At 36.8% G+C, this 26,725-nt stretch overlaps 1 protein-coding gene and 1 long non-coding RNA gene across 11 annotated transcripts in view; one reads left to right on the plus strand and one right to left on the minus strand.

Moving 5' to 3' along the window:
- Positions 1 to 26,725, minus strand: part of AGBL4 (AGBL carboxypeptidase 4) — a 1,501,444-nt gene that overhangs the window by 732,962 nt on the left and 741,757 nt on the right. The window lies entirely within an intron of this gene.
- On the plus strand, positions 1,939 to 13,822 carry AGBL4-AS1 (AGBL4 antisense RNA 1). The gene is made up of 4 exons (NR_125988.1): positions 1,939 to 2,005; positions 10,671 to 10,774; positions 12,610 to 12,787; positions 13,597 to 13,822. It is a non-coding gene; the product is annotated as an AGBL4 antisense RNA 1 (long non-coding RNA).

Here is a 26,725-nt window from a genome sequence, read left to right on the forward strand (position 1 = left end):
TCACACCAGTCAGAATGGCTATCATTAAAATGTCAAAAAATAGATAATGGCAAGGTTGTGGAGAAAAAGAAATGAGTATACACTGTTGGTGGGAGTATAAATTAGTTCAACCATTTTGGAAGACAGTGTGGCAATTCCTCAAAAACCTAAAGACAGAAATGTCATTTGATCCAGCAATCCCATTACTGGGTATATATTCAAAGGAATATAAATCATTCTGTTATAAAGACACATGCATGCATGTGTTCATTGCAGCACTGTTCAAAAAGCAGAGACATGGAATCAAACTAAATGCCCATCAATGATAGAGTGGATAAAGCAAATTTGATACACATATACCATGGAATACTATGCAGCCATAAAAAGAATAAGATCATGTATTTTGCAGGGACATGGATGGAGCTGGAGACCATTTTCCTTAGCAAACTAAAGTAGGAACAGAAAACCAAATATTGCATGTTCTCACTTATAAGTGGGAGCTAAATGATAACACATGGTCACACAGAGGGGAACAACACACACTGGGGCCTATGGGAGAGTAAAAAGTGGGAGAATGGAAATCGGGAAAAATAACTAATGGGTACTAGGCTTCATATCTGAGTGACAAAATAATCTGTGCAGCAAACCCTCATGACACAGGTTTACTTATGTAACAAACTTGCACATCTATCCATCAACTTAAAAGTTAAAAAACACAAAAAATTATAACAAATTTTTTAAAAAAGATAAATGTTTGAGGTAATGTATATCTTAATTACCCTGATTAGATCATTATACATTCTATACATATATCAAAACATCACATATACAACCAAAAAATGTACAGTTGTAATATATCAATTAAAAAATTATATAAAATTCAAAAAGGCATTTATTGATACAAAGTCAATACTTAAAAATCAATTGTATATCTATATACTAACAGTAAACAATTAGAAAATAAAATTTTATTGTGATACCAATTATGATAGTATCAAATATCAGATACCTATAAATAAATGTAATCAAAAGTGCAAGACTTCAAAACGCAAAACTATAAAACATTGTTGAGACAAATCAGGGTGTTAAGTAAATGGAAAAATCTATCATAGACATAGATCGAAGATTCATTATTAAAATCTATGTAATTCACTAAAAACCCATTGGAAGTGTCTGTGTCTATGTGTGTTTATGCATGTAAAAGTTGATAATTTAATCAGAACGTTTATATAGGAGTGCAGAAGGCCAAGAAAAGCAGCAACAGAGTTTTAGATAGCAAGACTTACTGTAATGTTATAGTAATTAAAACAATTTAGTTTACATTGCTGTGGATTTGTATAGCTAGACCGATGGATCACAACAAAGAGCCTGGGAATAGACGCAATACATATTAAAAACAATATCGTAGATCAGATGAAAATTTGAACTATAAATGAATGGTCCTGGATCAATGGGTCATCCATATGGAACAAACCAAGCTGGGTCTCTACCTAGCACCAAATACAGAAATAAAACCCAAATAGATTAGGAAATAAAATGCACAAAGCAAAACACAGCAGATTAGTTTATGGACTCAAAGTATGTACAGTTTTTTTTTTTACAAAAAGCACAGAAGCATTAATTATGAAGGAAAAGATAGACATATTTGAGTATTTTACAAAAAAAAATACTATGCAAAACGATACCACAGAAAAATGAAAATGAAAGTCAATGATTGAAAAAAAAATAGAACCACTGCTCTCTTCAAAGCTGTCAGACAGGGACATTTAAGTCTGCAAAGGTTACTGCTGTCTTTTTGTTTGTCTGTGGCCTGCCCCCAGAGGTGGAGCCTACAGAGGCAGGCAGGCCTCCTTGAGCTGTGCTGGGCTCCACCCAGTTCGAGTTTCCTGGCTGCTTTGTTTACGTAAGCGAGCCTCAGCAATGGCGGGCGCCCCTCCCCCAGCCTCGCTGCCGCCTTGCAGTTTGCTCTCAGACTGCTGTGCTAGCAATCAGCGAGACTCCGTGAGCATAGGACTCTCCTAGCCAGGTGCGGGATATAATTCTCCTGGTGCGCCGTTTCCTAAGCCCGTCAGAAAAGCGCAGTATTCGGGTGGGAGTGACCCGATTTTCCAGGTGCTGTCACCCCTTTCCTTGACCAGGAAAGGGAACTCCCTGACCTCTTGCACGTCCCGAGTGAGGCAATGCCTCGCGCTGCTTTGGCTCATGCACGGTGCGCTGCACCCACTGTCCTGCGCCCACTGTCTGGCACTCCCCAGTGAGATGAACCCGGTACCTCAGATGGAAATGCAGAAATCACCCATCTTCTGCGTCACTCACGCTGGGAGCTGTAGACCAGAGCTGTTCCTATTCGGCCATCTTGGCTCCTCCAGCACGGAGCTGGAGATCTGAGAACAGGCAGACTGCCTCCTCTAGAGGGTCCCTGACCCCTGATCCCTGAGCAGCCTAACTGGGAGGCACCCCCCAGTAGGGGCAGACTGACACCTCACACGGCTGGGTACTCCTCTGAGACAAAACTTCCAGAGGAACGATCAGACAGCAGCATTTGCAGTTCATGAAAATCCACGGTTCTGCAGACCCCGCTGCTGATAGCCAGGCAAACAGGGTCTGGAGTGAACCTCTAGCAACAGACCTGCAGCTGAGGATCCTGTCTGTTGAAAGGAAAACTAACAAACAGAAAGGACATCCACACCAAAAACCCATCTGTACATCACCATCACCAAAGACCAAAAGTACATAAAACCACAAAGATGAGGAAAAAACAGAGCAGAAAAAATGGAAACTCTAAAAAGCAGAGCGCCTCTCCTCCTCCAAAGGAACGCAGTTCCTCACCAGCAACGGAACAAAGCTGGATGGAGAATGACTTTGATGAGTTGAGAGAAGAAGGCTTCAGACGATCAAACTACTCCGAGCTACAGAAGGAAATTCGAACCAAAGGCAAAGAAGTTGAAAAATTTGAAAAAAATTTAGACGAATGTATAACTAGAATAACCAATATAGAGAAGTGCTTAAAGGAGCTGATGGAGCTGAAAGCCAAGGCTCGAGAACTACGTGAAGAATGCAGAAGCCTCAGGAGCCGATGCGATCAACTGGAAGAAAGGGTATCAGTGATGGAAGATGAAATGAATGAAATGAAGTGAGAAGGGAAGTTTAGAGAAAAAAGAATAAAAAGAAACAAACAAAGCCTCCAAGAAATATGGGACTATGTGAAAATACCAAATCTGTGTCTGATTGGTGCACCTGAAAGTGACGGGGAGAATGGAACCAAGTTGGAAAACACTCTGCAGGATATTATCCAGGAGAACTTCCCCAATCTAGCAAGGCAGGCCAACGTTCAGATTCAGGAAATACAGAGAATGCCACAAAGATACTCCTTGAGAAGAGCAACTCCAAGACACATAATTGTCAGATTCACCAAAGTTGCAATGAAGTAAAAAATCTTAAGGGCAGCCAGAGAGAAAGGTCGGGTTACCCACAAAGGGAAGCCCATCAGACTAAGAGCGGATCTCTCAGCAGAAACTCTACAAGCCAGAAGAGAGTGGGGGCCAATATTCAACATTCTTAAAGAAAATAATTTTCAACCCAGAATTTCATATCCAGCCAAACTAAGATCCATAAGTGAAGGAGAAATAAAATACCTTACAGACAAGCAAATGCTGAGAGACTTTGTCACCACCAGGCCTGCCCTAAAAGAGCTCCTGAAGGAAGCACTAAACAAGGAAAGGAGCAACCAGTACCAGCCACTGCAAAATCATGCCAAAATGTAAAGACCATCGAGACTAGGAAGAAACTGCATCAACTAATGAGCAAAATCACCAGCTAACTTCATAATGACAGGATCAAATTCACACATAACAATATTAACTTTAAATGTAAATGGACTAAATGCTCCAATTAAAAGACACAGACTGGCAAATTGGATAAAGAGTCAAGACCCATCAGTGTGCTGTATTCGGGAAACCCATCTCATGTGCAGAGACACACATAGGCTCAAAATAAAAGGATGGAGGAAGATCTACCAAGCAAATGGAAAACAAAAAAAGGCAAGGGTTGCAATCCTAGTCTCTGATAAAACAGACTTTAAACCAACAAAGATCAAAAGAGACAAAGAAGGCCATTACATAATGGTAAAGGGATCAATTCAACAAGAAGAGCTAACTATCCTAAATATATATGCACCCAATACAGGAGCACCCAGATTCATAAAGCAAGTCCTGAGTGACCTACAAAGAGACTTAGACTCCCACACAATAATAATGGGAGACTTTAACACCCCACTGTCAACATTAGACAGATCAACGAGACAGAAAGTTAACAAGGATACCCAGGAATTGAACTCAGCTCTGCACCAAGCGGACCTAATAGACATCTACAGAACTCTCCACCCCAAATCAACAGAATATACATTTTTTTCAGCACCACACCACACCTATTCCAAAATTGACCACATACTTGGAAGTAAAGCTCTCCTCAGCAAATGTAAAAGAACAGAGATTATAACAAACTGTCTCTCAGACCACAGTGCAATCAAACTAGAACTCAGGATTAAGAAACTCACTGAAAACCGCTCAACTACATGGAAACTGAACAACCTGCTCCTGAATGACTACTGGGTACATAACAAAATGAAGGCAGAAATAAAGATGTTCTTTGAAACCAACGAGAACAAAGACACAACATACCAGAATCTCTGGGACACATTCAAAGCAGTGTGTAGAGGGAAATTTATAGCACTGAATGCCCACAAGAGAAAGCAGGAAAGATCCAAAATTGACACCCTAAGATCACAATTAAAAGAACTAGAAAAGCAAGAGCAAACACATTCAAAAGCTAGCAGAAGGCAAGAAATAACTAAAATCAGAGCAGAACTGAAGGAAATAGAGACACAAAAAACCCTTCAAAAAATTAATGAATCCAGGAGCTGGTTTTTTGAAAGGATCAACAAAATTGATAGACCGCTAGCAAGACTAATAAAGAAGAAAAGAGAGAAGAATCAAATAGACGCAATAAAAAATGATAAAGGGGATATCACCACCGATCCCACAAAAATACAAACTACCATCAGAGAATACTACAAACACCTCTACACAAATAAACCAGAAAATCTAGAAGAAATGGATAAATTCCTCGACACATACACCCTCCCAAGACTAAACCAGGAAGAAGTTGAATCTCTGAATAGACCAATAACAGGCTCTGAAATTGTGGCAAAAATCAATAACTTACCAACCAAAAAGAGTCCAGGACCAGATGGATTCACAGCCGAATTCTACCAGAGGTACAAGGAGGAACTGGTACCATTCCTTCTGAAACTACTCCAATCAATAGAAAAAGAGGGAATCCTCCCTAACTCATTTGATGAGGCCAGCATCATCCTGATACCAAAGCCGGGCAGAGACACAACCAAAAAAGAGAATTTTAGACCAATATCCTTGATGAACATTGATGCAAAAATCCTCAATAAAATACTGGCAAACCGAATTCAGCAGCACATCAAAAAGCTTATCCACCATGATCAAGTGGGCTTCATCCCTGCGATGCAAGGCTGGTTCAATATATGCCAATCAATAAATGTAATCCAGCATATAAACAAAACCAAAGACAAAAACCACATGATTATCTCAATAGATGCAGAAAAGTCCTTTGACAAAATTCAACAACGCTTCATGCTAAAAACTCTCAATAAATTAGGTATTGATGGGACATATCTCAAAATAATAAGAGCTATCTATGACAAACCCACAGCCAATATCATACTGAATGGGCAAAAACTGGAAGCATTCCCTTTGAAAACTGGCACAAGACAGGGATGCCCTCTCTCACCACTCCTATTCAACATAGTGTTGGAAGTTCTGGCCAAGGAAATTAGGCAGGAGAAGGAAATAAAGGGTATTCAATTAGGAAAAGAGGAAGTCAAATTGTCCCTGTTTGCAGACGACATGATTGTATATCTAGAAGACCCCATTGGCTCAGCCCAAAATCTCCTTAAGCTGATAAGCAACTTCAGCAAAGTCTCAGGATACAAAATCAATGTACAAAAATCACAAGCATTCTTATACACCAATAACAGACAAACAGAGAGCCAAATCATGAGTGAACTCCCATTCACAATTGCTTCAAAGAGAATAAAATACCTAGGAATCCAACTTACAAGGGATGTGAAGGACCTCTTCAAGGAGAACTGCAAACCACTGCTTAATGAAATAAAAGAGGATACAAACAAATGGAAGAACATTCCATGCTCATGGGTAGGAAGAATCAATATCGTGAAAATGGCCATACTGCCCAAGGTAATTTATAGATTCAATGCCATCCCCATCAAGCTACCAATGACTTTCTTCACAGAATTGGAAAAAACTACTTTAAAGTTCATATGGAACCAAAAAAGAGCCCACATCGCCAAGTCAATCCTAAGCCAAAAGAACAAAGCTGGAGGCATCACGCTACCTGACTTCAAACTATACTACAAGGCTACAGTAACCAAAACAGCATGGTACTGGTACCAAAACAGAGATATAGATCAATGGAACAGAACAGAGCCCTCAGAAATAACGCCGCATATCTACAACTGTCTGATCTTTGACAAACCTGAGAAAAACAAGCAATGGGGAAAGGATTCCCTATTTAATAAATGGTGCTGGGAAAACTGGCTAGCCATATGTAGAAAGCTGAAACTGGATACCTTCCTTACACCTTATACAAAAATCAATTCAAGATGGATTAAAGACTTAAACTTTAGACCTAAAACCATAAAAACCCTAGAAGAAAACCTAGGCATTACCATTCAGGACATAGGCATGGGCAAGGACTTCATGTCTAAAACACTTCATGGCGACAAAAGACAAAATTGACAAATGGGATCTAATTAAACTAAAGAGCTTCTGCACAGCAAAAGAAACTACCTTCACAGTGAACAGGCAACCTACAAAATGGGAGAAAATTTTCACAACCTACTCATCTGACAAAGGGCTAATATCCAGAATCTACAATGAACTCAAACAAATTTACAAGAAAAAAACAAACAACCCCATCAAAAAGTGGGCAAAGTATATGAACAGACACTTCTCAAAAGAAGATATTTATGCAGCCAACAGACACATGAAAAAATGCTCATCATCACTGGCCATCAGAGAAATGCAAATCAAAACCACAATGAGATACCATCTCACACCAGTTAGAATGGCGATCATTAAAAGTCAGGAAACAACAGGTGCTGGAGAGGATGTGGAGAAATAGGAACACTTTTACACTGTTGGTGGCACTGTAAACTAGTTCAACCATTGTGGAGGTCAGTGTGGCGATTCCTCAGGGATCTAGAACTAGAAATACCATTTAACCCAGCCATCCCATTACTGGGTATATACCCAAAGGACTATAAATCATGCTGTTATAAAGACACATGTACACGTATGTTTATTGCGGCACTATTCACAGTAGCAAAGACTTGGAAGCAACCCAAATGTCCAACAATGATAGACTGGATTAAGAAAATGTGGCACATATACACCATGGAATACTATGCAGCCATAGAAAATGATGAGTTCATGTCCTTTGTAGGGACATGGATGAAACTAGAAATCATCATTCTCAGTAAACTATCGCAAGGACAAAAAACCAAACACCGCATGTTCTCACTCATAGATGGGAATTGAACAATGAGAACACATGGACACAGGAAGGGGAACATCACACTCTGGGGACTGTTGTGGGGTGGGGGGAGTGGGGAGGGATAGCATTAGGAGATATACCTAATGCTAAATGACGAGTTAATGGGTGCAGCACACCAGCATGGCACATGTATACATATGTAACTAACCTGCACATTGTGCACATGTACCCTAAAACTTAAAGTATAATAATAAAATTAAATAAATAGACAATTAAATGAATATTGATGACTTTCTGAAAAACAAAAAAAGATAAAAAAATAGAGTAATCCTCACAATGGTTTAATATGCAAATTTATAAAGAACTATTATAAATCAAAATATAAAAGACCAACAATACAATAGAAAATAGGCCAAGCATATAATCAGACAAGATATAGAAGGAGGAATATAAAGGTTTGTAAATTAAATATATGAATAGATGATTACTCCACTAGCAGTTGAGGAAATATAAATTAAGAAAATAATGAAATTTCTCATCCATCATATCAGCAAAAAAGTAAATCTAATATCAAGTATTAGCAAATCTAATATCAAGTATTGGTAATTATGAAAGAACAATGATTTTGAACATTGCTGGTAAGCATGTAAAATAGAAGAGCCTCTTTAGAGGGGTACTTGACAATAAAGATGTTTATAACCTATAACCTAGCAATTCCACTTCTATGTGTTCTCCTTAAACAAATTTTGCCCATTGTATAAGGAGACACATGCAGAGTTGTTCACTGTATCAGTATTCATTTATAATAGGAAAACAAAAAAGTAACTAAAACCGCTTAATTTAAAAAACTGGATAAATTGTGGTTCATTAGTACAAAATACTTTTGAGCATTTAAAATGAATGCATTAGAGTGACATTTATCAACATAGAGAAACTTCCAAAAACTATGTTTAATGAAAATGGCAAGCATTTTAACACAAAACAGTAGTATATTTGTATACTTATATATAATCCAAGTATAATAAAAATACAAAATTATACATGGTAATAATAATTTCAGAAATTTGGTAACTTCTGATAGAAAGAAAGAGGTAAGGAGAGAGGATGTTAGGTATATCCGTAATGACTTATTTATCAAAATCAATAAAAGCAAGCAGGATCTGAAAGATGACAAAATGTTAATATCTGCTTCATTTTATTGAGTGCTTTTATGTTATTTTATGTATATATGAAATTTCCCTAATTTAAAATTTAAAAATTTAAATAACTTTAATTCATTTGACACTTTAGTGTAAAATATGAAGTAGAATAATGTAGTTTTTTCCAAACGGTTAGCAAGTTGTGCCAATATCATTTATTGAATAAGTCATTCCTTTCTAATTTTAAATGCTACCATTTCCATATAATAAATTTTTATATGTTTGGGTTTATCTCTGGACTTCAATTTCTGTTCCACTGATCTGTATGTTTATCCTAATGACAGCCTCCCATAAGTTTTTTTTTTTTTGAGACGGAGTCTCACTCTGTCACCCAGGCTGGAGTGCAGCGGCGCTATCGTGGCTCACTGCAACCTCTGCCTCCCAGGTGCAAGCAATTCTCCTGCCTCAGCCTCCTGAGTAGCTGGGACTACAGTCGCATATCACCACACCCGGCTAATTTTTGTATTTTAGTAGAGATGGCGTTTCTCTGTGTTGCCCAGGCTGGTCTCGAACTCCTGAGCTCAGGCAATCCGCCTGCCTTGGCCTCCCAAAGTGCTGGGATTATAGGCGTGAGCCACCACGCCCGGCCCTCCCAATAATTTTGATAATTGTAGTTTCATGATATTTTTCAATTTATATTATGGCAAATCTCTAGTGAATGTTTTCCTTTTAAGATTTATTTGGTTTCAATCACACTCAGTGATCTTTTCTTATCTTTTATGGTTATTTTCTTTCATAATTCATTTTGTTTATGCTTCCTCACTATGTTTTAAAATTTTTTGTTATACAACATTTCCTTAAAATATTTTCATGTTTTTCCTTCTTTATTTAGTAATTTCCATATCATTCATCCTAGTTTTATATTACAAATGGTTATATTTAAACTTAAAAATGAATTTGAGTCCATAACTTAGGTATGAGTAGTTTTTATTATGAATGATGTCAGTAACTCCTTTGAGACTAACGCTTGGCACTTAACCTCCTCTGATAATACAGAAGGTTTATAACTCAGTGGGGAAAAGCTCTTTGGAGTACGTCTGACAACATGTTCTAATCATATTGCACCATGTACAAAGGTTGGTGTGAAATGGGCAGAACTACACAGGAGTTTAGGATCAATCTGCCTTGGTGTCATGACATATCAAAGGTTATATAGATAATATGGTATGGGGCTGAGTTGGGGATAAAACCTAGATCTCTATTTGTTCAACCAATCAGCTCCTTTACTTCGGAGCCATATTCCCAGTTTTTATATTACTTATTGGGAGTGCAGCCTGATTCCCAGCATTGTGGAAAGAAATGCTGGAGTTTCAAGCCTACTTCTTACTGTGTGATTTATCATCTTTCTGAGCCTGTTATTTGTAGGGAGAAAAATCATACCCATCTGGTAGAGTTCTTAGAATTAAATATAATTGCCCAGACAATGTGTTTAGGGAACAATAAAAGACTACATATATATGTATATAATGTACATATATACGTACATGAACCTATACAACTATATACATTACATACAATTTATAGATATGTTTCCTATATATGTGTAGCTTCATGTACATATATATGAATATGTACGTGTGTATAGACACATATGTATACATATATGTGCATGTATGTATGTAAGGATATAGAGAGACAGATCATATGTATGATTATGCTAAGTCTCCTGCCCATGAAGAACCAAAAAGTTGCCACCTAAAGTCTTCAAAAAATGCTGAACAATCCTGGGCCTCATATATCAAAAGCATGGAGTCTGGATAATCACTATGTGAAAAACGAATCCTTATCTATTATAAGTTGATGTTGAAGAGTCACAGGGAATCAACAAAGTTTGTTAATTAGCTGCACCTGTGTCTTGTTAACTGGAAATTGTCAATCTTCACACAGATACTGCAGTCTGACAGAGATGGTAAAAAAAAAATGGCTTGCAGATTGCACATTAGAAGATTCCTCTCCCTCACTGAAAACTTGTGAGAAGGCAGCCAAAAGAGGTAAAAGGGGAATGGAGCAAAACATTCTCATCAAGGGGAGTTTAGCATATCAAACAAGGGCATTTGTAACATGACAGAAAGAAGAAAAAGATCTTTCAGGGAGACTCTTTCTTCTCCCTTCTCAAAATAAATATCCACCAAGATACAGACAAAAAAAAAGCCTCTCTTTTCCTCAATCTGACAGCATTTCCTACATGGAATTTTGTTCTAAATTTTAGCACTAATTCAAACATATTCATTTAATCATAATTTTAATATTTATTAAATAAACAGTTATGGGTTTCCTACTCTGCTATGTGCTGAGATTATATAAATTAATAAGACTGGGCCCTTTGCCCTTAAGTGAGGAAAATAAACCTGTAACACACACACACACACACACACGCGAAGGTAGAGTCTGTAGCCAGCCTAAGGGAAGGAGAGGTGAATTTTTGCTGAGGAATAAGGACTGGCCAGGCAGTAGAGAACACATGGAAGACATTTCAGTCAGAGGGAGCAACAAGAACAAAGGCTAAGTGGTAATTCTGGGGCTGGGTAGGGCAAGAGATCAGACTGTGTCATTAAGACATATGAGCATGTTAAAAAGTTTTAACTTTCACTGAAAGCAATATGAAGGGCCTATTGAAGGGTTTTAATTGTAGGTGTGAAAGGTTCAGATTTGTGTTTCAGAAAAAGCACCTAAGGCTGCACTGAATGACTGTTCCAGGGTTTATACTGGTCTCTGTAGAGTCAGCTGAATAAGTAAATGCTCTACTCTGAGGAAACGCATACTGTTATGGAGAAAACAAGCAAGTAAACAAGTTATTGCAAACCCAGTGTCATTAATGCAAAAATAGAAGAATATGTCAAGAACTCTTGGAGCTTTGGGTATAGTGCACAGAGGACAGTGATCACATCTGCCTGAATGGGAAGAGTACACTTTCTTTTGAGCCACTTCCCAAAAGATGATGTGTAGTTCTGAGTCAAATCACTTTGAAATTAGTACCATAGTACATTTCCCCTCCTAGTTGTAGCTATGTATGGTTTGTAAGATGACTGAGATCAGGGCAAAATCCTTCACATCTTTTGTAACTGCAAAGTAGGTACTGACAGGGCTGAAGTCAGAGTGTATGTATTAGTCTGTTTTCACACTGCTGATAAAGACATACCCAAGGCGAGGCACGGTGGCTCACGCCTATAATCCCAGCACTTTGGGAGGCCAAAGCGGGCAGATCACGAGGTCAGGAGATTGAGACCATTCTGGCTAACACAGTGAAACCCTGTCTCTATTAAAAATACAAAAAATTAGCCGGGCATGGTGGCACACGCCTGTAGTCCAAGCTACTCGAGAGGCTGAGGCAGGAGAATCACTGGAACCCGGGAGGTGGAGGTTGCAGTGAGCTGAGATCACACCACTGCACTTCAGCCTGGGCAACGGAGCGAGACTCTGTCCCAAAAAAAAAAGACATACCCAAGACTGGGTAATTTATAAAGAAAAAGAGGTTTAATGGACTCACAGTTCCACGTGGCTGGGAGGCCTCACAATCATGGTAGAAGGCAAAAGGCACATCTTACATGGCAGCAGGCAAGACAGAATGAGAGCCAAGAGAAAGGGGAAATCTCTTATAAAAACCATCAGATCTCATGAGATGTATTCACTACCACAAGAACAGCATGGGGGAAACCACCCCCATGATTCAATTATTTCCCACTGGGTCCTTCCCATAACACATGGGAATTATGAGAGCTACACTTCAAGATGAGATTTGAGTGGGGACACAGCAAAACCATATCAGTGTATATTAAATAAAATCTGATTTATTAGGCTTTCTTTAAACCTATTATTTATTAAACAGGTTCTCCTTCCTGCGTGATGGGAAAGTCAAGGATAATAAATAGAAAACCAGCCGAGTGGATGGCTTCAATACTAGGCCAACCTATAATGCACCCCATGAATGAATTTCCACCTATACTCACTTCATGTTTCCCCTGCACAGAAGTGCTACGGAGTTAATAGGACAGATGAAATAACAGGTATATACATCTGTTTTTTTAAATGGGCTATTCATCAGGCACAGGGGAAGAAGCTATAGGTTTTCTCAGTGCTTCTGAAATTCTCAAACAGGAATGCATAGGTTTCTAAACTCAGGCAAAACCAAAATTCCTTTCCTTTTTTTTTTTTAAACACACACACACACACACACACACACACACACACACACACAAATACAAGATCTCACTCTATTGCACAGGCTGGAGTGCAATAGTGTGATCATGGCTCATGCAGCTTTGAACTCCTGGGCTCAAGTGATCCTCCTGCCTCAGACTCCCAAGTAACTGGAATTATAAGTACAAGCACAGTGCTTTGCCTTCCTTTTAAAAATTTCTTCAGTACATCCCTTGAGGGGGCCTTTCTACCTGCTGCATGATTTCTCACACTGCTACCCACTTCTGGCTTCCATTAGGTATATACTTCTATTGGCTTTTGTTATCATTTTATAATAAAATGAGGAAGGATGTGAGTCCTAGATTACCTTGCTTAATGGTGGCACAGCCTTTTCTTGATGAGACATTTAATGGTAGTCTATTTTCTTATAAATGCATACAAATCATATGTGCTAGACTGAAAATTGTTCAGAACTATTCTGCTTACTCTGTATCCATATTCTTTATACTATGATTTTGCTGCTCCTCCCATCAAAAGGTGACACCTTTGAATTTGGGCTGATCTGGTGATTGGTTTTGCCCAATAAAACCTGGTAAAACGATGGTACAGCAGCTTTAAGCCAAGACCTCAAGAAGCCTTGTGTAGTTCCATATTCTCTTTGAAATCCTACTATCAGCATTTGATCAAATCTAGGGTAGGGTGACAGTGGATGAGACTACATTGACTAAAGCCCAATGATTCCAACTGAATCCATCTTAGACCAACATATAGACGGTTGACTTCCAAATATATGAGAGCACCCAGACAAGATCAGCAGATTAATCTACAGTTGATCACTAATACAGAAAAACCATCCGGTTGGCCCATGGACTTAACGAGCATTAATAAATGTTTCCTGTCTTAAGCCACTGGTTTTTGGTGCTTTGTTATTGAAAGAAATCAAAATATTTTATCCAAAAATATATTTATTTGACATATTTTGAGATGGCTGTTCAAAGAGCCAACAAATAGAAATAACCCTGTAAAGCTGTATTTTGTGTGGGAAATCTGTGTCTGCAGAGAATTTGAATTGATACAACCAGGCCTTTCCTTGCCCAGATCCAGAAAAGATTAACTGAGAGTCTGACACTTTTAAAGGTCTGATAATAACATTTACTATCTATTCTCTCTGAAGGCTACTACCTGTGAGGTTTCATTTACATAAAAGACCATGTTGTTAGTCAAGTCCCCTCTTCTTTCTCTCCCATAAGCTGTCTTGCCATCATGTCCTGATTTACCACCATAACCTGTTTTGGCCATGCTCTGAGCTCCCATTCTTCCCATAAGCTCAAGGTGGTATATAAGGTTCTGCATCCCATTGGGGGTTAGGGTAATCCTTTTGTGATTTTTCCTCTATGTACACGTTAATAAATTTATAATCCTTTTCTCTGATTAATCTGCCTTTTGTGAGTTGATTTTTCAAAGAAGCTTTAGAGAGTGAAGGGGAAGTTTTCCTTTAATCCCTACAATTTTGGCACTGTGAGCAGAATACCAAAACGCCACTCTTCTTGAACCTGCAGTTAAGGGAACCTAGGACCTCATAAACTGATGAAAAAATATGAATTTCTTAACAGCTAGGCTCCAACCTCTCTCTGTGCAATCTGGTCAAGCAGATGGTAAAAAATCACTGTCTCTTTTTCCTCTGCAAAATTTTGATTAACGGGAGAAAAGGATTTCTGTGACTAGTCTTGGGGATAGTGACTCTGGTGTACTTTTTGGTGCTTTCTGGCATGAATATTCATATTGTTTGGTCTCTCTTCTCCCAGAAATAGTTTTTCCTTGTCCTTGTTTTTCTGTGCTATTCTGTCATAAAGAGGGGTAGTGAGTGAGATTCTCTCTCATCTTGTTTTATGTCCTTGAAAGCTTCCTTGTGACCAAGTAGGAGCTCTCTCTCTTGGTTTCCACCATCGGGGGGACATGATTTTCAGGTCACGTCAGGTGGCCAGTCTCAAATTGGCTGGGTACCCAAACACACTGTTTATTCCAAGCATGTTAAGCTCTCAGGGGGATATTTTTTTTTTTCTCAACCTTTGTTGTTTGGTTAGTTCTGGGAAAGTCTAATCCTAGGAGGCTCTACATGGTGTTACAAATTAACAGGTCTGTCACTGGTGGCTCCTCACAAATTCATGGGTTACATAAACACCAACCTCAACTGTCTGTGACAAGATCCTTTTGCCTACTCCTGGGAGTAAAATTTTTTGTGGGGTGGGGGATCTTTAGGATTGCCTCTTCTATTCCCTCTCTAGAAAACACCTATTTTTCTAAACCTAGAAAATTACATCCTGGGCTTTCCATAATGAAGTTATTAAACTGAGTCACTACTGGAATAAGTACATCATTGGGAATTCTAATTATCAATGGCAAAAAGATAGGTCCTTTAAGTTTGACTCCTGAATTTTAAAAAAGGAGAGATTTCTTATTCCAAACAATTGACGAGAATATCAAACTAAAATAAAAACATAATAGTGCCATGATTAGTCTTAAAATTCTCTTTACAAAATTAAAGAACAAAAATCTAAACTAAAATAAAGTTAAAGTCCTTTGAAAGCTCAAACTGCCAGCTGTGGGTTTCCTATGGGATTCGCAATGAAGGCTACTCCACCTTGTAGTCTAGTAGTTAAAATTCCACACTTTCACTGCCATGGCCTAGGTTCAATTCTTAGTCAGAGAACTAGTCTCTTTCAGTTGATATTTATGTAACTTTTTATTTTTGAAGGTAACTATTTATTAATCCTGTCCTTCCATGAGCAGCTTTTGATTTCTTATATTCTTCCATCTATGGGGACATATGGGACTTTTGGGACTTTGTGAATAGATGGTCAGTTAAGAAGCTGAGACCCCAGAAAATATGGCCAGACAGATGTGGGTTGTACACCATTGCACATAAAACTTTCCTTTCTGTAAACTCTCTTTGGGGTGGTTCTAGATCTTATGAGGTAGAAGGGTACTTTCGATTTAAAAAAAAAATTCAAAAGCCAGAAATTTCAGCTGTTTGTCCTGGCTAAAATCTGATAATAAGAGATTTCAAAGCGTTGTGTTTTCTCTAAGAGCTCCATAGTTCAAAGTCAACTCAATTAAAAGATAGCACACACACACACACACACACACACACACACACACACGTACATATACATATCTAAAATACTTTTGACGTTCTCTCTTTTCTGATTCTGTTTTTAGATTTCTTAGTTGACTAAAACCCTTTTTAAATTATGTATTTGGTCTGTCTGTTCACTTTCTTTCTTACAAAATATTCTACCATTTACTTTTATTCCTCCCTACCCCTCCTTCTTCTCCATCTTTGGTACTACATAAAAAATCTAAAAGAGATGTCCAATGACTCAGCGTCTTAATGCAGAAAAAGGTACCCCTTCACCCCATTTGTGGGGCCTTCTATTTTCCTTCTAGTTTCAAGAGTCATGGAAAGGATACTCTCAGGTCTAAAACTCTGCTGTCTTTTATAATACATTATTTCATCTCTTTGGCTTTTGAGGGTACCAAAAGTTACTTCATGCTGTGACAGAAAACTTGGCCTTTGTGTGTACAATGGATGTGAGGTCACTGGTGAGAACTACAGTTTTGGAAGTGGCTGGCAGTGGTACAATGAATGTTATTTGTTACATTGTCACACTAATGTTATTACTACAGGAGGCCACTCATTTCTTTGTGCACTTAGTTTTAAAAACATGCAGTTTAAATACTTAGAAAACTGTCTTTATAACGGAGTAAAATATAAAACTGTTGTGTAGCCCAGTCCCATGGTGTTTCCCTCTTTTTGGAGACCCAGGATTCAGTGTAAAAATAAAATCCTTGATTTTAAAAAATCTAAATTCTCTGCCTCCTAGCTGTGTCTACTTTTCATCTATCTAAATTATTAGGCTCTAAACATGACAAATGCTAATAATTTAAATTATTGGGCCATGTTCCTTAATGGGCTCCACCCTGAGCACAGTGGTCCAATTAAAAAACAAAGACTAAATTAAAAATTACTTATCTAAATAAAATTAGTCTTCTTATAAAATCCAGTGGTAAATTCCTATGATTTTATGTTACCTTGACAAATGTTTTTAGTCTTCTTATGTCTAACACACCTAAAATTTTTATTTAAAAAGTTAAAATTGTCTCTGTACTTTACATATATATTTACTACCCTGTTTTCTCTAAATCTCAGTAAGGGGCTTTGGCCATGTGTGACAGATAAACATTAACATTTCCCATTTAAAAAGACACAATTTAAATCCAGCTATCCTTTTATATTAGTGACTTATACCAATCTCATAACTAAAATTTTAAAATAAAAACTGGAAAGTCTTTATGTCTATATACACACATGTATATGTCTGTTTATATACTGTCTGTCTGATACCATTGACTTATAAATAAATACTCATTAATAAACCAGCCTAATACTTGTCAAGTTCATATAATTTTAATAATCTATAGTAAATAAAGATAATTTTAAAAATTGTTAGTAAAATAAAATACATCTTAAGAATTTAGTTTACACATTTTTCCTGGGTATTTTAGTCAGACGAGTTTATACTGTCTCTACTAGATGTTTTAAAGTTATAAATGTATTACTTCCATAATATTTTCAAATACTTAATTTGTCTGTGAGCTTATGTCTTCAAATGTGAGCCTTTAAATCCTAAGGTCTAGAGAAGTGGCTATGGCAAGGCTGGGGACACTCATGGGCAGTATTCTCACAGGTCCAGAGCAGTGCCTCCTGGAAAAAGTTAGATCCACCAGACGTTGTCTTTATTACTCTAACTTTGGTCATTGGCTCTAAATCTGGCACATGATTAAAATTACCCACTTCCTAGATTTTTCACCAGAAAATAAGGGTTACTGAGAGTTAACATCATAAGTAATATACATAATAATTAAAACTACTAAATATAAAATAGTCTATATACAAAGTATATTAAAAATAAAAACATTTTTATAAAAGAATATAAACGTGGTTTTTGTTAAAAAATAATTTTGTCTAGTTTATAAATTTTTATGTTACTTTCAATAAAAAATAAAACTAAATATAAAAAATTTAAAAATTATAAGAGGTTATACAAGAGTTTATCAAAATCTCTTGTGTATATTCAAAACTCATTAAAATTAAATTTGTTTATAAGATTTTATTAAAATTAAATTTAATATTAATAATATAATATGAAGGAAAAATCTAATTTTCTATTTTAAGTAACATTTTCATACAATATTAAAAAGATTTTTGTTTACTTTTTATTTTATTTTATTTTTATTTTTCGAGATGGAGTCTCTCTCTGTCACTCAGGCTGGAGTGCAGTGGTACAATCTTGGCTCACTGCAAGCTCCACCTCCCAGTTCACGCCATTCTCCTGCCTCAGCCTCCTGAGTAGCTGGGACTACAGGCACGTGCCACCATGCCCTGATGACTTTTTGTTTTGTATTTTTTTAGTAGAGACGGGGTTTCACCGTGTTAGCCAGGATGGTCTCTATCTTCTGACCTCATGATCCGCCTGCCTCGGCCTCCCAAAGTGCTGGGATTACAGGCATGAGCCACCATGCCCAGCTGATTTTTGTTTACTTTTAAATAAACGCCCAAAAAAGAGAGAAGAGAGACAGATTTAGTTTGCCTCATGCTGTCTTTACTAGGTCTTTTGATTATTTGGGAAACAGCCTCTTCTCTATTAATAAAGTTGTTGCTGTTTAAAATGTCTGAATTATCACTTTGGCTAAATGAATATTTTACAGTGACCTGTGCTCCTATTTTGATATCAACTGTTTTAAATCTTTGATATTTGACATACTTCTCACAGTCATATTTCAAATTCTAAATTCAGTCTTTAGACCTGAAATTAACTTTTCATATATTAAGGCCCAAGAGAGTCCAAGAGAGATATATTGGAATTATATAGTATGTTATAATCATATAAAAAATTGTCAAATAAAAAATGATATTTAACTTTTTTTGAGTTGTACTTGTAAAAATGTATTATCAATATGTGTTCTAAAATTGTATGAGATTACTAACATACTGATGTGTTTTGGTATATGTTAACAGTAACAATTATGATTATTATGTCAAATTGTATGCCATAGAAATAACAAAATCTCATTGTCAATTGTTATGATTATTCTAAGACTTTTTAAATCCACAGACAAATTATTGTTTTACTTTGATTCTTCCTAAAAAGTAATTTGTAATCAGATACAGTACAAAATTTGCTTATTTTTCAAAGAAATTCATAATATGGACCTTGACAAGTACTCTTAAATACATGCTTCTGATAACTTTAGAAATCATACTATTGGAGTAGGTAAAAAATTCCAGGACTCTAATTAAAAAGCTAATACATTCATGACTATTGCTAGCTCAACATCAAGCAGAACAAGAGTTAATTCATGGGGCTAAACTGATAAAGGACTCAAATGATTTTTATAACTTTTTAATTTAAAACATTGCTGATTCCTTTTATGTTTTGTTTTCCAGCATTAAGAAAACTTTTTTGAACTATTTAGAGCTTGTAACAATTGGGTAAAGTATATATTTGTGAACAAAAATAAAACATTTATCTTTCTCACATAATTTCTCCAGAATTTAAAAATTATTTGTGAGTATTCTTAATTAATGACAGCACAGTTATTTACATTTGTTCCATAAGAATCTGTTTTCTTTTGTCACAGGACATAATTAATGACACTAGTTATTTTACCAAGACTTTGACTGGAATGATATATTTTCAGATATGGCTAAACTACTCTGAGAAGTTGAGATTAACTTCACAGAGCTAATAAAAAGCTCTTGAAAAAGAGTGGCCTGATGTCTTATCTACATGGTTTCTTTATAAGGTTCTAGACCTGTGGAAAATAAAATATATCACTTTCTGACAGGCCCATGCACCCCAAGATTTTGGGGCCTCAAAAAGAGAGAAGTTCACCAGTTTGTACAGGTATTACAGGCACACTCTGATGACAAATCCTTGGCTTGGTTTCTTAGCCTCAAGGCTTTTAAATGTCTAATCTGAGATTCCTTATTAAAAAGTTCCAACAAAGTCAACTTTAAAAGAGCCTATATGGCCAATCACTATTGTTACTACACTTTATGCAAATAGTCATGCCAAGAATAATAAGACTAAAAGTTACTTTTAATTTCATAACTAAATTAGTCCCATTATAATTTAACCTTAGTAAAAATGGGAACTAGAGAGAGAAAAAATGTTTCAGAAAAAACCTATAGTATACCTGTTATTACATTCTAGCCTTGCCCATAGTTTTTGAGTTTTTATTGTTTTCCTATAATTTACACTGTATCCTAAATTCTTTCTTGACTACAAGTCTCCAAACAATTTTTTTCAAGTTATTCTCTGATTTTTCTCAATTAAAATCACTAAAAATTAAAATTACTTTTCTTAAAGCCCTATAAACTAAAGTTAAACAACTTGATATAAACTTTGGGGAAAATCACCACAATAACATGTATTACCAGTCATTATACCTGCTGATGTGTAAACTACTCCGGAAAGCTCACTTGAACATCTCAGTCAAACTATAACCCAGAAAAATCTGTTAGATTGCCACTGCAATCTGAAGATATTTCAAAGTCAAATCTGGTCTGTAGACTACTCCAGACATTAACCTTCACTTTCTTTTGTTTCCATAGAAATGCCTCTTATTATAGATATTCTCCTACATTATATATATACATATATATACACACACACACACACATATACATATGACTAGCTCATCTACAAGATCACCTCCTAGAAGGAGATTCAATTATTTAACCAAACTAATCTATTATCATGACTAAGAGACTGATTTAAAAAGCCATGAGATGATATATTTAAATTTACTCTTTTCTGCTTATTCCAGTTTGTTTTCTCCCGCTCCTTTGCCTATCTGTACCTAACAATCTCTAAACCAAAACTCTCCAAAACTATCAACTTGACTTTAAACTGTGAAACTTTTCAAAGTTTCAAAGTAGAGACTCAAGGATATCAAAATATTTTATCCCAAAATATATTTATTTGGCATATTTTGAGATGGCTGTTCAGAGACCCAACAAATAGAAATGACCCTATAAAGCTGTCTTTTGTATAGGAAACTTGTGTCTGTAGACAATCTGCATTGATACAGCCAGGCCTTCCCTTGCCCAGATCTAGAAACATTAACTGAGAGTCTGACACCTTTAAAGGTCTGATAGAAACACGTACCATCTATTCTCTCTGAGAGCTACTACCTGTGAGGTTTCATTTACATAAAAGACCATCTTTGCTAGTCAAGCCTCTTCTTTCCCTCCCATAGCCTGTCTTGTCACCATGACCGGATTTACCACCATAATCTGCTCTGGTCATGCACTGAGCCCCCATTCTTCCTAAAACCTCAAGGTGGTTTATAAGGTTCTGCACCCCACTGGGGGTTGGGGTAATCATTCTCTGATTTTTCCCCATGTGCACATTAATAAATTTGTATGTCTTTTATTAATCTGCCTTTTGTGTGTTGATGTTTCAGCTAAACTTCAGGGGGCAAAGAATGAGTTCTCCCTTGGTCCCTACGTTATTTAGCAATAGCCAAAGGATATACTATTTAATGTTTCAGTAATCAAACCATGCAGAAAAAAAAGACTAAAAGAAAGAAAAACTGAAAAAGGGAAAGAAAATAAGAGAATAAAAAGTAAAGAGTCATTTACTTTCCATTGTAGTTTATAGTCCCAATATACTAGAATATTCAGTATTAAACTGAATTTGATATTCTTCACTATCTTCATAATTATTTAACATAAGCTTATCCTTGCTCACATATTAAATCTAGCTATTTTAATGTACCATTTGAATTTGATCATACTAACATATATTTTTTGATCAATTGTTATCCTTTAAATTTCAATTTCCCACTTTTGTTAATGAGGAAAAGAGCATTTCCTGTCCTTGAGAATTTTGCAGTTTGGCTGGGTTCATGGGGTGTGACATGATATGTTACAAATCAATTTCAGTTTCTTTTCTTGATTTATTTGTTAAATGAAGAATTTGGACAAACAAAGTCTTAGGAGGCATAAACCTGAGTTCAAAACTTGTCTCCACCACTCACTATCTTTGCAAACTTTAGTATGTTATTTTACCTTAGTTGATCCATCCATAAAATCAAAATAATAATACTTTACTGGTTGGAAAGCTAAATATTCCACTAGATAGCTAAAGAAAATACTCTTCTTAGGTTTTTTTCAGCTCCAAAAAATATGCTTCTTTCAATCTATTTAGAAGTGGGAAAATTGAAGATCAGAGACAGCAAGTAATTTTCCTAAGGTCAAATAAGTTGGCATAGCTGAAAAAAAAAAAAAAGACGGGTGTTCTTTTTCCCAGCCCAACTGTCCTCCCACTCCAACTTGCCCCATACCCTGCCCAAAGATAGGCATTTTCCCATATTGTTTTCTCTGTTTGTTTCCAGAATCCACTGAATGGTGTTCAATAAAGCAAGCACTACTTTTTAGTACAAGTCAACCTTTTTCTAATTGATTTTTCGTTCTATTTTGTTCTGTTTTGTTCTAAGTACTTATTATATCCCAGGCACTTTACCTACAAAATCTCATTTAACAATCATAACAACATGGCAAGAAAAGTATTCATATTTCCATTTTACAGAAGAGGAAACTGAAGCTCTCACAGAAATTAACCATGAGAAGTTGCCCAAGGGCACAATACTGACAATGTGGTAGAAGCAGCATCCAAAATCAGGTTTATTTGACTCTAAAGCTGTAGCTCTATATAACAAACCATTCTGTGTCCCTCTTTTTTTTTTCATTTTGAAAATTATTCTCTAAACAAAAAAGTAGAAAATTTATCTCCTCTCCTTTGGAATCACGTCCCAGGTTAAAAGGAAATACTAAAACAGCCATGCTTTCAATTTGCTTCTCAGGACAGACGAATATTTTTTTATTAAAAGCTTTGGTGGATAACAAACAGGGCAGTAAATCTAAGAGAGAGAGAGCAGCACTTGTTCATAAGAAACCTTTCCCTTTCTCAAAGCACCTGGGAATTACAGGACGACTGATCTACTTTACAGCTGTATGGTACTGCTTTTTAGGGCAGAGATCAAGTCATCAGGTACTGTCAGACCAGATGCTTGAAGCTATCTGCCTGCAGGAGGTAAACCAACCATATTCTTTCATCCAGTTTTCCTGAAGCTAATGGCAAATATTTATGAGCTATTAATAGGTAGAGGTCTAGGTTCAGTCTCAGTCTCAGTCAGTATCCAGGCTATAACCAGGCCCATATTGAATTTTGTTGCTGGCGTCAGGGATAGAGCCAAGATAAGAGCCAAGAGTCCTTCTTCAGATGGACTGAAGAAGGAATCAGTCACTCCACAACCAGAGGACAATAAAAATAAATATTTATTTATTAAAAACCAAAATATTTATAATTTGCAACATCAAATAAGCATGTTTAGTAAAGCTGATGTAACATTATCCTAATTGTATTTACACCATTAATCTGCTATGTTTAGCTGAGACATTTTTCATCACTAATGCAATGCTCAAGTTGAACTTTTATAAATGTCAGATTATTAGAATCCACATTCATGAAGCTTCACCTTACAGCAGTTTTCCAAAGCTGAGAATTGGAATAGATCAATTTTAAATGAAAAAAAGAGAGAATATATTGTGGATTGCAAACAGCAGATAAAATATTTTCTTATTAAAGGCTGCTCTCTCCAATGAATTTTAGAGAACACTGAGATCTCCCCTTTGTTTAAAGATAATCACGTTTTTCTCAGAGTGGTTCACCTAGGGTTTTACCTTGGGCATGAATTTTTCATGACTGATTGATTGAAAAGACAATGCCAACAGAGCATAATATAAGCGTGGGGACCTGTCTTACAAGGTAGAGTTAAATTACTCCAAGGATTAGGATGACAAAGCCAGGCGCTGTCTTCAACTCAGCAAGTAAATTAACAATTACAAATCTGTTGAAAAATGAGAAAAATCAATTAGAAAAAGGTTGACTTGTACTAAAAAGCAGTGTTTGCTTTATTGAACACCTTTCAGTGGATTTTGGAAACAAACAGAGAAAGCAATATGGGAAAATGCCTGTCTTTGGGCATGGTATGGGGCAAGTTGAAGTTGGGGGACAGTTGGGCTGGGAAAAAGAAGACCCGTCTTTTTTTTTTTCAGCTATGCCACCAACTTATTTGACCTTAGGAAAATTACTTGCTGTCTCTGGTCTTCAATTTTCCCACTTCTAAAATGAAGATAAATGACTAATTCCAAACCTGCTAAAACCATTTTTTGAAAAAATTATGTCACTGAGAAAATTATGGTAATGGGGGAGATCTGATCTAGCCAACTCCTATCTTGCCTTTAGCCTTTAAGCTGCACTTAATTATTCCTGGGCTTAAGCCAAACTAACCTTGGGGGACATTTAGTTTAGTAAATAGTTGAAATGATGATATTCCATCCCCAGAACTCAACTGCCTTTGCAAAGCCAATGAGAAACCACCATGCTAGGAGGATAGCGAAGCCTGAATGCTGCTAAAGCATAACTATAATAGATTTCCAGCCATAATTTCAGAGGTCACAAGATATGTAACTTCCCCAATTACTCCTGCAGATAACATTACTATTGTAGAACCTAAGATTGGCCTTTCGAGATATCTTTTCAGGATTTTTTTGCATGTCTGGCACCAATGGCTCCACTTGGACCTGCCAGCTACTACTGTGGCCCCACCTAGAAGGGACTCAGCACGCAGAAGGACCATTTCCCACACCCCTATGATTGCACCCCCAACCAGTTAGCAGTAAGAACCCATTGCCTAGCCACCCTCACCACTTACCGCAAACTACTTTTGAAAAACCCCAGCCCCCATGTTCTCTGAGAGATTGATTTGAGTATTAACCCCATCTCCTAAATGTTGTGGCCATTTTTGTGTCAGTTAAACTGTTTCTTTACTGCAATGCCATGGTCTCTGTGAATTGGTTTTGTTTGTGCAGCAAGCAAGAAGAGCCCATCACTCACTGCCTAAGGAGGGCAGTGAGTGAATGTCAGTCACGGGGCTACAGTCAAATACACATTCTAGAGAATGGGTCCCACTAGAAATAAACCAGAGGACTGAGTGCCAGGAGTTTAACAGACAAAAGTCTTTAGGAAGAAGGAAAGGAGAGGATTCTAAAAAGTTCAACTCCAAATGTCAAGTTCAAGGGCCAGAGGTAGATATTAAGGTCCAGAGCAACGAATTAAGGAGTATAGACAAAGTAACACAGTTAATTGAGGTCAAGGTGAAAAAGGCAGCTCTAGATTCTACAGATACCTGGCTGATTAATTTCTTTATTTTTAAAAAAATTGTTTATTGAACTCTGCTTATACGATCTAAACTGTTTCATGTGCTGAGGTTACACAGATCAGACATACATTGTTCTTGTCTTCAAATACTTTACATTTTAGTGGGGGAGATAAATAAAAAACCAGTAAATAAATAGACCTATAATTCAATGTCAGATAGCAATAATTACAACGAAGAAAAAGAAAACAGTAAAGGGTAAGAAAATAGAATGGGAAATAGGCTATAGTTTATTTGGCTTTAAGTTATTATTACCGTATATATAATTTGTTGAACACTAAGTTCCAAAGAAATAATTAGGCACTTTTACATTGCACATTATTTCTAATCCTCAAAATAAGTATTACAGGCAGACATTATTTCTCATTTTACAGATTTGGGAACTAATAAGAAAAAAAGACCCTAAAAGATCAAGCAACTTCTTGTTTTGGTCACTTTCACAGATGAGATGGGCTCTCTCACACAAAATTTGGTTTGGATGTTGAGAATGATGATGCCACATATGCAAAAAGAGTACGAAAAAATTAATTACTCACATGATGAGACTTTCTGGCAAGAGTAGAACAGTCTCTCAAACTGGTCTGACAATGACTCGAGAGAGCAAGAAAGAAGGCTGGCTTGGGGGTTTATGGTGGTTAGGAGATGAAGCCATCATGAGGATTCCCATGTGCACACACCAGGACTTGTGTGGTTTGAACATTCTGCCAGTGCTAAAGGAGGATGCAGTGTGCTTTCCTGTCTGTTTGCTCAGACATGCAGAAGGAGAAGGAAGGATAGGGCTTAAAAGGTGTTAGCAGTCAATGTCAAAAATAGAGTCAGACTCTTTACTCAACTTTCCAATGATAATACAGCTGTATGTGGCAACACGATACTGTGATTTATAATAAATACATATTTGGCTTTGTCCTCAGTTTCCTGGCATACAGCTACTAAAACCCTTGGAATCTTCAGAGTGATAAAGTCATCACAATGGCCAATAATGAAGCATCCAAAAGAAATCTTAAAAGGACAGGATTCAGAAATCTTCTGCGCTGCTGAACAAATGGAAGTGCTGGGAGGGTTGCTTGCCCAGAAAGCACAGAAGCCCCAAACCCTTTTCTATATCTTGCCCCATATATTTCTTCATGTGGCAGTTATATATGTTTCCCACAGTTCTGTGAGCTGCTTTAGCAAATTAATGAAGCCTGAGGAAGGGGCTGTGGAAACTGCCAATTTATAGGCAGTTGGTTAGAAGTATAGATGGCATCCTACTACTTGTGATGGGCATCTGAAGTGGGAGGCAAGCTTGTGGAACTGAACACTTAACCCCTGGCATCTGACTATCTCCAGGTAGATAGTCAGAATTGAATGAAATCATAGGCTACTCAGTTGGTGTCCATTGGAGAATTGCTTGGTGTGTGTGAGAAAATCCCCAGACATATGTTGGTTACCAGAGGCGTTCTGTGTTGAGTGTT

Source organism: Homo sapiens, chromosome 1 (genome assembly GCF_000001405.40).
Source record: "Homo sapiens chromosome 1, GRCh38.p14 Primary Assembly".
In the NCBI taxonomy this organism is placed as follows: domain Eukaryota; kingdom Metazoa; phylum Chordata; class Mammalia; order Primates; family Hominidae; genus Homo; species Homo sapiens.